The 16,467-nt window shown below is 39.2% G+C and overlaps 1 protein-coding gene and 1 pseudogene across 1 annotated transcript in view, besides 1 other annotated feature; both read left to right on the top strand.

Moving 5' to 3' along the window:
- SIDT1 (SID1 transmembrane family member 1) overlaps positions 1-6,306 on the top strand; it is a 104,557-nt gene extending 98,251 nt beyond the window's left edge. The window contains exon 26 of the mRNA XM_047448376.1: positions 5,982-6,306. Within this exon, the coding sequence (XP_047304332.1) occupies positions 5,982-6,032 (51 nt within the window). The 3' untranslated portion in view covers positions 6,033-6,306. The remainder of the gene's footprint in view (positions 1-5,981) is intronic.
- RN7SL767P (RNA, 7SL, cytoplasmic 767, pseudogene) lies at positions 1,899-2,094 on the top strand (annotated as a pseudogene).
- Positions 7,199-7,699: an enhancer, noted in NCBI's record as "H3K4me1 hESC enhancer chr3:113356851-113357351 (GRCh37/hg19 assembly coordinates)". NCBI's record gives its function as "activates a minimal SCP1, AML or CMV promoter by ChIP-STARR-seq in primed H9 embryonic stem cells {active_cell/tissue: H9 hESC(primed)}" and the evidence as "EXISTENCE:reporter gene assay evidence [ECO:0000049][PMID:30033119]".

A 16,467-nucleotide genomic window follows, 5' to 3' on the forward strand; every position in this document is an offset into this window, starting at 1 on the left:
ACAGGATCCTCAGCTCACCCTCCTGAATCCCACAGGGAGGCAGGGCAAGAGTGGATCCATCAGCCAGTCTGGGATCTCTCTCCTCCAGGGGCTCTTCATTGAAACCAACTGTTTCGTTTCCTGTCCTCAGCTCCAGGCCCTGAACAGGTTGGGAGGCCTCTTCATCTTCAGAGACACTGCCCACAGCTGTTCAGCCTCTTCTCATCCCTACCCCCATCCTTGTCCTTTGTAGCTGCATTTCTCTGACTCTGGCCCTGAATATCCTTATTCCAACTGAGATGAAAAAAAAATGCTTCCAAAGCTAGGGCCAAGTGGGAAAGCCTGGCTGTTTATAATGTGACACCTCATCACTGCTGTCTCTGCCCTGGGAATCTCAAGAAAAACCTAGGTTTTCTCCTCTCAAGTAGCTATTACAACCCTATTTCAGGGAATGCCACGTGCAAATGTTTCCCTCCCTTCCCACCCTGATTACCAAACATTCTGTAGGGCAAGCTTGCATCTTCAGCTAAGGAGAACGCTTCAGCCTGCAGGTGACAAAACAGTCTCTGAAAGAGGAAGCATGGTTTTGAAATGAACCACTATGAATCTAATGTCCCTGGTGAAACTAAGGAGAAGCACTATCGGTAGAGATTCTATTTGCTGTGCTTGAAGCAATGGAAAATGCTTTGTTTACCATGATTCCACCCAGCTTATAGTAGTTTTGTTTTTTGTTTTTTTAACACTGGAGGAGACAAGATATATTTATGTGGCTAAGTTTTAATGTCTCCTCAATACGAAGGCACCTTTGTTAACAAGGTTAAGAGCATGTTAAATCTTAGGCCTTAACCCCCATGAATTCGAGGAATCTGGGGAAGAATCACAGATCAGCCTTCACCACTGAGTTTCTAGAACACCAGAGCAAGAGAGTTTCACTTGGGTCTCCTCTGTAGAAAGAGACCTGTCCTCAATGAACTCCAAGGCGGGGCCTGTTTACACTGGACAGCTTTCCTGAAGCACGGTCTTGCTATTCTTATTGTAGTACAAAAAAGACTAGATGGATACCGTTGTTCACGAAGAAGTACCCTTTGCTCCCCCAATTTTAGAGAAAAGATCCCTGCCTTCTTCTTAAATATCTCTAGATTAAGAGATTTTATCATTTTCCCTGAACTCTGAAAATTGTTTAAATTCCTTGGCTCTGTCCTACATCTTTTTGTCTACCTTTAAGTCCCTGTCATCTAAGTTTTATTCATTTCACTGGAGATGAACAATAGCTGACTTTTTTTTTAATATAAAAGAATCTTGAAGTCATGTTACATTTCAGTCAAGTGCTAAATAAAAACTAGGGGTCCCATCTCCTGTCCCGGCATTATAGTTACAATTTAGAAATCAACAGATTTAAACAGTGAAAGATTTTCAAATCAGGGCAAGAGAAAACTGATATACAATCTCAACATGGCTCACTCTTGAGCCCCTGTTTTATATTTAAATCTTGACTTTTTTGTGTGAGTTATGACTCTAGGTCCTTGAAGCAGAATATTCTCCAAAATAATTCAAACGCTCTCTCTTTTAGGGTGCTACAACATTACCATCCCAGAAAGAAGTGGGTTTGCATTTTATGATTTGCATTAAATTGCTTATCTGAACCTTTCACAAGGCACCCTGGTACTAGGCAGGCCTCTTTGAGGAAACAGGACATATTTAGGCATGAGGTTTACTCTGCGTTTATCTCAACATGGGATACCTTGTGAAGTAATAAGCTTTTTGAGGGGGTGCATTTCCCCTTTATCCTCTCATCACATCTCTGTTCACTTACATAGAATCAGAAATACACCTTTAGTAAACAGTCATGAAATATTTGGGCTAGGCACTGTGAGAAAATGGGCACAGCAGTGAACAAAATGCACGTCAGTGAACAAAATGCCGGGCGCGGTGGCACGTGCCTGTAGTCCCAGCTACTTGGGAGGCTGAGGCTGGAGGATCGCTGGAGTCCAGGAGTTCTGGGCTGTAGTGCGCTATGCCGATCGGGTGTCCACACTAAGTTCGGCATCAATATGGTGACCTCCCGGGAGCAGGGGACCACCAGGTTGTCTAAGGAGGGGTGAACTGGCCCAGGTCATCTACAGTCCGTTGGGGAAGATGGACATGAAAAAAACACATGATTATAATCTGTTAATGATAATCAGGCAAAAAGCTACAAGAAGAGAACATCCTTATAAGACTCTTATCATTATGTGCAGAACAGAAAAAAAATCCAAGTAATTGTCAGCAATGTTTATGCTTAGATGTAAAGCCCTAATTGCTGATAGCATCTCTCTCACAGCTGAATTCCTCGAGAGCATATTTGGTTCTGGAGGCCTCCCTAAGAGACCTCTTTAGGGAGGTTCAGGCTTTCTCTGTCTATGGTTCCCAGTTCTACCACAAAACCAAACACAGAAATAAAGTAATTAGGGTGACTCTGCTTGGGCTCTGGTATCAGAGAAGGATGCTGGTTCTCAGGGAAGGGTGACTTTGAAGAAATAGGCTTCTTGCTGAGATTCCTCCAAATGTGTCTGAGAATTTCAAGTTGACTTTCAAAGGCTAGAACCTTATAATAATTATGTGGATGGAACATTCAGGAAAAGGAAAACTGAGATGCGGCAAGAATAATGTAAACGTGGAAGACCTTGAATGGAGACCAATTCGAAGGTCACGCTCAAGCAGTTAGTGATTTCTGAAAGTCTAAGGGGGAAGGGAACAGGTATGATTTTAGCCTGAACCATCCCTAAAAGCTATGAATGTGGAAGGTGTCTTTAAACAAGAAGGTAAATGAGACTGGATTGGGACAAACAGGGAAAGATAGCTGCTTTGAGTAATGGAAGTTAAGAAGTAAGCTAGAAGGAAAAGAAAACTACTTAACTTCATGAAAAGCATTGGGTAGTAGTGTTGATGACACAGATGATGCGTGGAGCCTGCAGAAGGCCGTTTCAGTGTCTATAAAATGGATTGGGGACGGGGGACTAAAGGAGGAGGAAAAACTTTTGGTGTGATAGGTTTGATCTTGTTTTCAAGTAAACTGAAAGCAAAAAGAAAGCAAGCCTTGGGGTCCACTGAGCTGAGACTACAGAGACTACTTACTACAGGCAGAATTTTAAAATATCATGTTGGGACTAACAGGGAAGCTTACAGCCTGTCGGACGCCTACAGCCTGGCCTGTCCTGCCCAGAGGAGGTGAATAACTGTCATTCCTAGGTAAAAGGGGAGAAGTCAGAAAAATAAGGTGATATAACTGATGACCTCAAATTTTTCATAAGAAAAATGAAAGTCCCAGTTTTAATCTCAGCAGAAAACAGAGATCTAGAGAGAAGGATAATTGGAGTGGGGATGATTTTATTCCATCCCTGAAGAAATAAAAACAGCTCCTCTGCCTAACTCTTCCTAAGAGGTTGCAACAACCTCACTCTGCTAGAGGACAAGTATGGGACTGAAGCTTTCAGTCTGCCCTCTTAGTGAGATCTTACTATTGGAAACTTATGTCCTCAATTCCTACCTTCCAATTTCTATTTATAGAACATTAAGTTTGGCATAACTGGTCATTAAAACAGCCAACATTCAGCTGGATGCAGTGGCTCACATCTGTAATCCCAGCACTTTGGGAGGTCAAGGCGGGTGGATCACTTGAGGGCAGGAGTTCAAGACCAGCCTGGCCAACATGACAAAACCCCATCTCTACTAAAAATATAAAAAAGGTATGGCCCGGCACAGTGGCCCACACCTATAATCCCAGTACTTTGGGAGGTCGAGGCAAGTGGATCACCTGAGGTCAGTAGTTCAAGCCCAGCTTGGCCAACATGGCGAAACCTTGTCTTTACCAAAAATACAAAAAAAATAAAAATAGCCAGGTGTGGTGGCGTGCATCTGTAATTCCAGCTACTAGGGAGGCTGAGGCAGGAGAATCTCTTGAACCCAGGAGGCGTAGGTTGCAATCAGCTGAGATAGCACCACTGCACTCCAGCCTAGGGGACAGAGCGAGGCTCCATCTCGAAAAAAATACAAAAATTTAACAAAAAGAAAAGCATTTTCCAAAATACGGAAGACATATGCCTGATATATAAACCTGAGTAACAATGAAACACATTGTGCCTTAGGAAAGCCAATCAATAAAACCACGGCTGTGAAGCATTTTGGCTCTCTAAACTGGAACAGCTGGATTTATATAAGGACTATTGCTTCAGGTTCTAAGCTTGTAAACGTAAGAACCAAAGTCCTTTTTATAAATTCAATGATTGCACTTGGCAAAGCACTGTAGACCCAAAGATTCATTTTAAATTAAAACGTGCAGCATAAAGCATCAGGTTACTACTGGGAGCCTGTTGTTTCAAAAACGAAACTTAAAATGGAGAGAAAGCACAGGAATGTAGTGTGGTTATTTATTTTCTAAAAAACTTTCAGTAGCCCAGTGCATTGGCTCATGCCTATAATTCCAGCATTTGCGGAGGCCAAGGCAGGAGGACCACCAGAGGCCAGGAGTTTGAAACCAGCCTGGACAACATAGCAAGATCCTGTCTCTACAAAAAAAGAAAATTAGAGGTTAAAAAACATTCAAAAACTCAAAAAGTTGTCAAGAGTCTAAAAGTTCTCCAAAGCTGCCTCCAAAACCAATCTGTGCTGGCCTCATGGATCAGGCAGAATCTCCAGCTCCCTCAGTGGTCAAACCATCTTTGTTCTTGGTCTCTGGGCCCAGCTGTCTTCTCCTATAAGGTAGTAGTTTCATCCCAGCTACTTTAAATTTTCTTCCCCAAAACATTTTAAAGAAAAATTTTAGGCTGGGCACAGTGGCTCACGCCTGTAATCCCAACACTTTGGGAGGCTGAGGCAAGCGGATCACAAGATCAGGAGATCAAGACCATCCTGGATAATATGGTGAAACCCTGTCTCTACTAAAAATACAAAAAAATTAGCCAGGCGTGGTGGCAGGTGCCTGTAATCCCAGCTTCTCGGGAGGCTGAGGCAGGGGAATTGCTTGAACCTAGGAGACGGAGGAGGCAGTGAGCCGAGATCGTACTACTGTGCCACTGCACCCCAGCCTGGCAACAGAGGGAGACTCTGTCTCAAAAAAAAAAAAAGAAAAGAAAAGAAAAAGAAAAATTTTAGACAAAGGAACTACCTGCACTGAACTGGAAAATCATATTTCCTCATTTAGGGTATAATGATAATGGTGATAAATGTTTCTAAGTTTGTCCAGAAATAAGACAAAAAAAGCAATAGGACTTGGTTTGGAACTCTGACATGCTAACGTACTCCTGTTTCACCTCCTGTACTAAGCTGTCAGTTGGGCTTTTTAAAAAATATATTTAAAGTGGGCCAGGCACAGTGGCTTAAAGCTGTAATCCCAGCACTTTGGGAGGCCGAGGGGGCCAGATCACTTGAGGTCAGGAGTTTGAGCCCAGCCTGGCCAACATGATGAAACCCTGTCCCTACTAAAAATATATAATTAGCTCGTGTGATGGTGCGTGCCTGTAATACCAGCTACTCAGGAGGCTGAGGCAGGAGAATCGCTTGAACCCAGGAGGTGGAGGTTGCAGAGAGCTGAGATCGCACCACTGCACTACAGCCTGGACAATAGAGCGAGACTCTGTCCCAAAAAAATAAAAAATAAAAATATTTAAAGTGAATTTGCACATCGCTTCATGGCAGCATTTAAAAAAAAGGTGGGGGGGATATAACCTAATTAAACCATGAATTCCCAGAAACTTCCCAAACCAGTAAGTTCTACACAACTACAGTCAGGCTGAAGCCTTTTTCCAAACCACAGATCTGAATGTGATTAAGCAGTGTAAGAAAACACCACCAACCAGACCCACACAGCAGAAACTTAGTTAAAAGCTGGATGTTAGTATCTTCCCCAAAATCTGTAGCTTATTTGATCATGTGAAAAATTAAGTACTGATACTAGTTAACCAACCTACCTGACTTCTGAACTTATCTAGGAAGCAAATAAGCATCATCTCCTTAATTTCTCACAGGAGGAAACGGGCAAAGGAGCTGTTGACCCTGATCAACTAAATATATTCTAGTGGAGACTGCATTTCAGTCTCACATGCAGGAGAGGCGGAAATGAGGACGGTTATGGAAAATACATTTAAAACCTCATTTGTCCTTAACAACAGCCCTGTGAAGTATGCAGGACAGGTAATAACAACAATAAACAGGTAAGAATGAGAAGCAAAAAGACACAAAGAAGTTATGCCACTTTCCCAAAGTCACAGCCAGGTAACAGGGGAACAACACACAAAATAGTGCCATGCCTTTTCCTCTTCTAAAGAATGACAGTGGGCCGGGCGCGGTGGCTCACGCCTGTAATCCCAGCACTTTGGGAGGCCGAGGCAGGCGGATCAGGAGGTTAGGAGATCTAGACCATCCTGACTAACACGGTGAAACCCCATCTCTACTAAAAATACAAAAAAATTAGCCGGGCGTGGTGGCGGGCGCCTATAGTCCCAGCTACTCAGGAGGCTGAGGCAGGAGAATGGCGTGAACCTGGGAGGCGGAGCTTGCAGTGAGCCGAGATCGCGCCGCTGCACTCCAGGCTGGGTGACAGAGCGAGACGCTGTCTTAAAAAAAAAAAGAAAAAAAAAAAAAATGACAGTGCATTGGTTCACACCTGTAATTCCAGCACTTTGGGAGGCTAAGGAGAGAGGATCTTTTGAGCCAGGAGTTCAAGATCGGCCTGAGCAACATAGTGAGACCCTGTCTCTACAAAAAATTTTTTTGATTAACTGGGCAAAGTGGTGCACACCTGTAGTTCCAGCTACACGAATAGCTGAAGCAGGAATATCCCTTGAGCCCAGGAGATTGTGGTTGCAGTAAGTTATGATCACACCACTGCACTCCAGCGACAGAAAGATCTCTCTTTGAGACCTCTTTTTAGAACTTGTCTCAAAAAAAAAAGGAATGACAGTAAAATGACTTTTAGATATTGCCTACTCAGGGGAAATTTATTAAGAGAAAACCAACGTCTATTCAAACTTCCGGCTGGGTGCAGTGGCTCAAGCCTGTAATCCCAGCACCTTGGGAGGCCGAGGTGAGTGGATCACTTGAGGTCAGGAGTTTGAGACTGAGAGGTGACAACGTGCTAGCAGCCCTCGCTCACTCTCGGCACCTCCTCGGCCTCTGCGTCCACTCTGGCTGCACTCGAGGAGCCCTTCAGCCCGCTGCTGTGCTATCAGGGCCCCTCTCTGGGGCTGGCCGAGGCCGGAGATGGCTCCCTCTGCTCACCAGGAATTCTGCCTCAGCCTCCCAGAATAACTGGGATTACAGGCGCCGGCCACCACACCCAGCTAATTTTTTGTATTTTTCATAGAGACAGGTTTTCATCATGTTGGCCAGGCTGGTCTCAAACTCCTGGCCTCAGGTGATCCATCTGCCTCAGGCTCCCAAAGTGCTGGGATTACAGGCATGCGCCACCATGCCTGGGCAACCATGAACATTCTTATACGTGTCTTTTGGTGAACTTTTTTCCACAGTATATACTTACTATACTATAGAATTGCTAAGTTATGGAGTAGGTATGTCTATATCATTAAAGGATAATGCTAACAGTTTTCCAAAGTGGTTGTACCTATGTACACTTTCATCAGCGTTGTGTGAGAGTTCCCATTGTTCCACATCTTTGCCAACATTTGGCATTTGTCAGTTCTTTCCAGTTTAGCCTCTCTGGATGAGAATGAAGTGGTATCTCATTGTATTTTGTTTTGCATTTCTATGATGATTAATGATGTTGAGCCCCTTTTCATAGACTTCTTAGCCATTTGTGTGAAAGATTTGTTCAGGTCCTTTGCCCATTCTGAAAATCAGCTTATGAGTCATTTTCTTTTTTGATATATATAATCTTTGACAATCTGTGACTTGATGAAAAAAATTCTGCATTTTAATGAAGTCCAATCTAACAATTTTTTTCTTATATGGTTATGGTTGGATATTTCCTGTGGTGTCTTCTAAAATACTAGTTCTCAACTTTAGTCTAAGGATCCATTTATATTCCTAAACATTTTTGAGGAACCCAAAGAGTTTTTGTTTATGTGGGTTATATCTGTCAATATTTAGCATATTAGAAATAAAAATAGAAAATTTACAAACATTTATTAATACATTTAAAGATAATAAACTTATTACATAATACAAATAACATTTTATGGAAATAACTACATTTTCCCAAACAAAAATTCTGAGAAGATTGATGCTGTTTTACATTTTTGTAATCAGTTTAATGTCTGACTTGATAGACAATAGCTGAATTCCCATATGGGTTTCTGCATTCACTTTGCTGCAGTGTGTGTTTTGCTTGAAGTACCGTCAAGTGTCACTTAACAATAGTGAGACATTCTGAAAAATGTGTCATTAGGGGTTTTTGCTGTTATGCCAACATCACGGAGTGTACTTACACCTACATGGTATAGCCTACTACACACCTGGGCTACAAACCTGTACAGGACGCTACTGTACTGAATACTATAGACAATTGTAACACAATGGTAAGTATTTGGGTATCTAAACATATGTAAACATAGAAAAGGTACAGTAAAAATATGGTATAAAAGATTAAAAAATGGTACACCTATATATAGGGCACTTACCATGAACACAGTTGCAGGACTGGAAGTTGTTCTGGGTGAGTCAATGAGTGAGTGGTCAGTGAATGGGAAGGCATAGGACATTACTCTGCATTAGACTTTATAAACACTGCACACTGAGGCTACACTAAATTTATTTTCTAAAAAAAAATTTTTCTTCAATAAATGAAACAGCTTACTATTACATTTTTACTTTTAAACTTTAATTTTTTAACTTTTTTACTCTTTGGTAATAACAGCTTCAAACACAAACACATTGTAAAGTTGTACAAAAATATTTTTCTTTGTATCTTTATTCTATACTTTTTTCTATTTTTAAACTTTTTTATTTTTTATTTTCTTTTTTGAATTTGAATAAGTGTCATTTTTTATTTTCTTACTTTTTAAACATTTTGTAAAAAACTAAGACACAAACATACACATTAGCCTAGGGTCAGGATGGTCAATATCACTGTCTTCTGCCTCTCCATCTTGTCCCACTGGAGGTCTCCACGGGCAATAACACACAGGGAGCTGTCATCTCCTATGACAACAATGCCTTCTGGAAAAACTCCTGAAGGACCTGCCTGAGGCTGTTTCACAGTTAACTTTTTTTAAAAAATAAGTAGAAGGGGTACACTCTAAAATAACAATAAAAAACTATGGTATAGTAAATACATAAACCTGTAATATAGTCATTTATTATCATTATCAAGTATTGAGTACTGTATATAATTGTATTGCTGTACTTGTATGTGACTAGCAGCACAGTAAGTTTGTTCACACCAACATCACCACAAACAGATGAATAATGCCTTGTGCTAGGGCGTTGTGATGGCTATCATGTCACTAGGCGATAAGAACTTTTCAGCTCCATTATACCCTCATGGAACCAACATCATGTATATTCAGTCATTGAGCAAAATGTCCTCATACAGCACATGACTGTGTATGAAGAAAATCTAAACTCAAACTAAAATATGTAGTTGAAAAGGGAAGAACATTTTAGTAGCCTTTTTAGATAATTGTGGATATTTTTCTCCAATACTATACCAAAACTCAACAAATGGTAGCTCCCCAAAATTAGTTGCAATGGCATTTGAAACCATATCAGTAAACTTTTCATGTTGTGTTACATTGAAATCCATTGGTCTATTTTGCACTTGAATGGATTTTTTTTACTCATGCATGATTTTGTAACAGCATGCCTTGGCCATTTGGAAAATATTGGTTCACTGAATTATAAAAACCTTCCAAACACTGACACATTTCATTATATAATTATTAATAAATACATACACTATTCATTAATGTCACCACTCATCTCATTGGAGAAGTCTTAGTGGGAACCTGTCAAGCTCACAGTGGTAAATACTGTGATGGGCTCGTTTCATTCATTTTTGAGAAAATGCCTGCCAAATATTCAAGTCTAAATAATCATAGATTTTAGCCACCCTTTTTTTTTTTTTTTTTTTTTTGGAGACGGAGTCTGTCTCTGTCACCCAGGCTGGAGTGCAGTGGTGCAATCTCTGCTCACTGCAGCTTCTGCCTCCTGGGTTCAGGTGATTTGTGTGCCTCAGCCTCCTGAGTAGCTGGGACTGCAGGTACATGCCACCCCCCAGCTAATTTTTGTATTTTTAGTAGAGACAGGTTTTGCCATGTTGGCCAGGCTGGTCTTGAACTCCTGGCCACACTTGATCCACCCACATCGGTCTTCCAAAGTGCTGGGATTACAGGTGTGAGCCACCATGCCCAGCCAGCCATTCTTTCCACTAAAAATAGCAATCTATGAAACAGTATTCTATGAAAAAAAGCCACTATTTTCTCCCACAATTCAAACAATTGCCCTAGTGCTTTCCCTTGAGCTAACCGTTATACTTTGGTTTGCAACAGAAGTATTTTATGTTTGCTTTCCATGTGGTCCCAGAATACAAAACATTAATGTAATGTTTAAAGGTAATATTAAAAGGAAATGTACTTAAGAGTCAAGTTTTAATAAAATTAATACATTTTATTGCTCCACCAAGGACATTCTAAGCTGAACTATTTTTTACTATGAGTTTATGATGATCATTAGGACAGTCATGATGCCGCTGCCTTGATTCATGCTAAAGGACCAGCAGTTTTACCCACCATTGCTTTTACACTGTAAGCGCAAATATCAACACAACGTATAGGCATGCCACATCTTAGTACTAGCATAAAAAATACTTTTGACCTTATGGACTCCTGAAAAAGATTTCAGAAAACCCCGGAGATTCTGGGGGCCACATTTAAAAACCACTATTCTAGGATCTTGAGTCTTTTACCTTTCACAATTAGGTCTAGAATCCATCTCAAATTAATTTTTATGTGTACTTTGAGGTAAGGGGTCTAGTTTTCCCCCTCCCCCTACAGATATCCATTGGCATCAGCACAATTTATTGAAAAGACAATCTTTTACTCACTGAAATGCAATTGGCAGCTTTGTCATCAATCAATTGACTATGTGTAGTCTATTTATGAAATTTCTTTTTCCTTCCATCAGTTTACCATCTATCATTGTGCCATTATCACACTGTTTTAATTACCAAGTTTTACACTAATTTTTTGGCAGTTTAAGTGTTCCAACTTTGTTCTTTAAGATGGTCTGGGCTATTCTAGGATCTTTACATTTATGTAATTATTATATTAAATACTATATAAATTTTAGAATCAGTTTGTCAATTGCCAACTCTCCTCAAAAAATATCTGCAGTGATTTAAGTTGCAATTGCATATCTCTATAGATACATCTGAATGGCATTGCATCCTTTCTGCTTTTTTTTTTTTTTTTTTTTTTTTTTTTTTTTTTTTTGAGACAGAGTCTCGCTCTGTCACCCAGGTTGGAGTGCAGTGGCACAATCTCGGCTCACTGCAAGCTCCGCCTCTGGGGTTCACGCCATTCTCCTGCCTCAGCCTCCCGAGTAGCTGGGACTACAGGCGCCCACCACCACGCCTGGCTAATTTTTTTTTTTTTTTGTATTTTTAGTAGAGACGGGGTTTCACCGTGTTAGCCAGGATGGCCTCGATCTCCTGACCTCGTGATCTGCCCGCCTCAGCCTCCCAAAGTGCTGAGATTACAGGCATGAGCCACTGCGTCCAGCCCTTTCTGCTTCTTTTGAGCTCCTTTAATTTATCCCAGCAACATTTTATAGTTTTTGGTGGGTAGCTTTATTGCTTAGTAATACACTGGCAGGGAATACCACTAAAATGTTGAATAATTATCATTCTTGTCTTGTTTCTAACTTCAGGGGGATATCATTAAGTGTGACAGCTGTGGGGTTTTGGTTTTGGTTTTTTTGTAGATGTGCCTTATCATATTGAGAATGTTTCTCTTTCAATTTTGTTTAGCATTTTTGCCATAAATGGATGCTGAATTTTATTAACTGTTTGAGTTACTATATGCTTTGTTCCTTTATTCTACTAATACAATGAGTTGAAAAATTGATTTTAAAGTGCTAAAACAACTTAGCTTTCCTGAAATAAACACCATATGATGATGATGTACTATTCTTTTCCTATATCACTAGATTCAATTTGCTGACATTTTGTTTAGCATTTTCATACTTATGTTTATTCAGGATATGGGCCTATAATTTTCTTTTACTGTAATGTAAATTTTGATATTGAGGTCATGTTAACTTCCTAAAGCAAGTTTAGAAGTGTTCCCTCTTTCTCTAGTTTATGAATTTGAGTAGATTGGTGTACTTCTTCCTTTGATAGTTAGAGGAATTTACCCCTGAAATCACTTGAGCTTGAAATTTTCATTGTAGGAAGATTTTTTTAAAAACCAACTTTACTGAGATATAATTCACCATAAAATTCGCCCATTTAAAGCATAGAGTTCAACAGCTTTTAGTCAATTCACAGAGTTGTGCAACATTACCATGATTAATTTTAAAACGTTTTCACCACCCCCAAAAGAAATTCCACACCCATTAACAGTCATTCCTCATTTTCCTCCAAAGCCCCCAGGTATCTAGATACCTACTAATCTGCTTTCTGTCTCTATAGATTTGCCTATTCTAGACTTTCATAGAAATGGAATCCTACAATATGTAGTAGGAAGATTTTAAATAATAGATTCCATTTCATCAGTAGGTATAAGACTATAAAGATTTTCTATTCTTCTTGTATCTATTTTGATAAGTTGCATTTTTCAATAATTTTGTCAATTTCCTCTAAGTTGTCAATATTATTGGCATAAAGTTGTAAATAATATTTTATGTTTTTAATTTCTGTATAATGTTTTGTGATGTCCTCTTTTACATTCATGATATTGATCATTCATATTTATCTTCTTTTTTCCTGGTCTTTTTTTTTCTTTTTTTGAGACAGGGTACCATTCTGTCACCCAGGCTGGAGTGCAGTTGCGCAATCTCAGCTCACTGCAATCTCCACCGCTCAGGGTCAAATGATTCTCCCACCTCAACCTCCTGGGTAGCTGCAACTACAGGAGTGCACCGCCACACCGAACTAATTTTTGTATTTTTTGTAGAGACAGGGTTTTGCCATGCTAGAATTATAGACGTGAGCCATCGCGTTTGACCTCTTTTTTCTTTTTTAGCCTTTTCTAAGTATTAACTTTTTGTCTGTTGATTTTCTCTGTCAGCTATCTGCTTTGTATTTTATTGATTTCTGCTCTATTATACTTTTCCTTTGACTTACATTGGACTTAAGTTACTATTTTTCCAGCTTCTGGAGATGGAAACTGAAATCACTGATTTTTTCAAATTCTCTTTTTTTACGTAGGCATTTAAAGCTATACATTTCCCTCAGATTAATGCTTTAGCTACATCACACAGGTCTCTCTCTCTCTCTCTCTCTCTCTCTTTCTCTCTCTCTATCTCTCTCTCTTCCCTCTTATCTCCCCCACACTCTACCCAAACATTAGAGAGACTTCTTTCAGGTGGTGGGCTACCTCACCCAGGGACTCTTCACACTTCATAAGTTTGTGTAGTCCTGAATGAGGAATAAACGTTTGAATTACTTGTGGCCTCTGGTTCTTATGTAGCATGTTTGACATCCAACAGCTTTAAAGGGGTGGGAACAGCAGACCCAGCAGCAAAGTCAGGCCATAATAATCTGATTTTACTATAGCCATATTAGCTTTCTTTTTATTAGAATTTACATATCTTACATATCTTTTTCCATCCTTTTACTTTTAATCTGTTTCCTTATAATTAAGGTGGGTTTTTTGTGCATTTTGTAAACAACATATAGTTGATTCTAATTTTTGTAATTCAGTCTACTTTTAAAATTTTAAATGGCTATTTCAATCTATAATATACTGATCTAGATGGTTGTAAGTCCATCATTTTTCTGTTATTTTTCTATTTGTTCTTTTAATTCATTTTTTCTGACTTATTTAAAAGTGTGTCCTTAAATATTTAATTATTTGATTAAATACATTGAATAATCCAGTATTTTGTTATTCCCTTTTACCTTCTCTATTTTATCTTATCTATTAGCATTTCAGTTTTGCCCTACTTTATTATTCTTTTGAAATTATAATACAGAACCTTGATTTATTACCATCTACCTTTAATTATCATTTTCTACAACTTCTCAGCAATAAAATATCCACACCAGTTTTACTTCATTTATCCTCTCACTTTGTCTTATTATTGTAATATATTTTACTTCTGCATTTGCATAAGCCTTACAAGACATTGTTATTGTTTTAAATCTCAATATTCTTTTATATTTGCCAATAATTTACCCTTTCAAGCCCTCTTCACTTCTTTCATCTGGGATCATTTTCCAGCAAACCAAATAACTTCCTTTAAAATTTCTTGTAGTGCTGGTCTACTGGTAAAACAAAATATTGCTCAATTTTTGTTTGTATGAATATGTGTTTCTCTTTTAGTTTTTAGGGAATTTTAATAATTTATAGAATTCCATGTCAGTAGGTTTTTTTTTTTTTTTTTTGTCCTTTACTTTTAAGATGCCATTCCACTGTCTCCTGGCTTCCATCATTTTTGTTATAAAGTCAGCAGTCCTATTGTTGCTTCTTTGTAGGCAATGTATCTTTATCACCCAGGTGCTTTCAAATTTTCTTTTTTTTTTTTTCTTTTTTGGACATGGAATCATACTCTGTCACCCAAGCTGGGCCAAGTAGCTGGGATTACAGGTGCCCACGACCATGCCTGGCTAATTTCTGTATTTTTAGTAGAGACAGGGTTTCACCATGTTGGCCAGGCTGGTCTCGAACTCCTGACCTCAAGTGATCTGCCTGCCTTGACCTCCCAAAGTCCTTTATCTTTAGAGTTCAGATGTCTGCTTATGATGTATAGGTGTAACTTTCTTTACATTTATCCTACTTGTGGGTTCACCAAACATCTAGAATCTATAGTTAATATATTTATCAGTTTTGAACATTTTCACCCATCAAATATTACTTCTGTCCAATTCTCTCTCCTCTCTGTTTGAAGCTCTAGTGATACATAAGTTGGATATTTTGACAGTGCCCCACACATATCTTGCATTTTGATCACTCTTTTCTATTCCTTTTTTTTTCTCTGTGCTTTGGTTTGATTTCCTATTGACTGATATGTGTACTTTACTACAAATTTATTTAAGAATTTCCTGGCTGGGTGTGGTGGCTCATGTCTGTAACCCCAGCACTTTGGGAGGCTGAGGCAGGTGGATTACGAGGTCAGGAGATCGAGACCATCCTGGCTAACATGGTGAAACCCTGTCTCTACTAAAAATACAAAAAAAATTAGCCAGGCGTGGTGGCGGGTGCCTGTAGTCCCAGCTACTCGGAAGGCTGAGGCAGGAGAATGGCATGAACCCCAGAGGCAGAGCTTGCAGTGAGCCAAGATTGCACCACTGCACTCCAGCCAGGGTGACAGAGCGAGACTCCATCTCAAAAAAAAAAAAAAAAAAAAGAATTTCCTAATTTCACTTTTCCAGCTCTAGATGTTCATTCTATTCTTTTTTTCCATTATTTGTCAGGTTTATTGAAGTATAACTTACATCCAAAATCCATCTGACAGAGTACAATTCTGTGACTTTTAACCACACAAGATATAAAACATCTCCCCCCAAAATTTGTTCCTCTTTGTAGTCAACCCTTCCACCTTCCCCCAGCAACTACTGTTTTCTGTTCCATTTCGTTTTTTATAAATTATAATTCTCTATTTTTAACGTATTTTAAAATTTTTCCATTTTAACATATTTTTATAGTTATTTTAAAGCCCTTGTCTGTGCATCTTGATTGTCTGTGGGTCTACTTATACAATCCGCTTTTCTTTCTGCTTTTTGGCCACATTTCCTAGACATTGTATGTATTTTCTGGGGATTGTATATAAAAGAACGTTAGAAATTAAGGTGGATGGTATTTTCCACCAGAGAGGGTTCATGTTTCCTTTGTTAGGCAGAGAGTATTGAGCTGTATGAGAGCTGGGATGTAGCTTTAGTTAGATTCAGTTTGCCTCTGGTTTTAAATGTCTTGAGAATGACACCTGCTCCCTCTAGCAGGACGTTGTCTCCTAAGCTTCATGAAACTATGGGTGCTTTCACTCTGCCTTTTCAGCCCAGACTCATCCAACATCCCCAGGGGAAAAAAGACCAGAGATCTCAGCTTACCTAGAAATGGAATTTCTCTGGAATTTTGTTCAGATAGTTCTCTTATATTTGTAATTGCTGTTAATTCCAAAAACTACACTATAACTTTTAGGGAGATTAAATTTAAGCATAGTGTTTGCATCTTTATGATTTATATGTCTTTCATGGCATATTAGGGCTTCTTGTATAATCAAAATGTATCTTCCATCTATAACATCTGAATGGGAGGTGGTATGCAATAGTAGGAAGTTAGCCCTTCACAGTCAGAATACCGACTTTTAATCTGAAGTCCCAAGAAGACGGGTCAA

Source organism: Homo sapiens, chromosome 3 (genome assembly GCF_000001405.40).
Source record: "Homo sapiens chromosome 3, GRCh38.p14 Primary Assembly".
Classification (NCBI taxonomy): domain Eukaryota; kingdom Metazoa; phylum Chordata; class Mammalia; order Primates; family Hominidae; genus Homo; species Homo sapiens.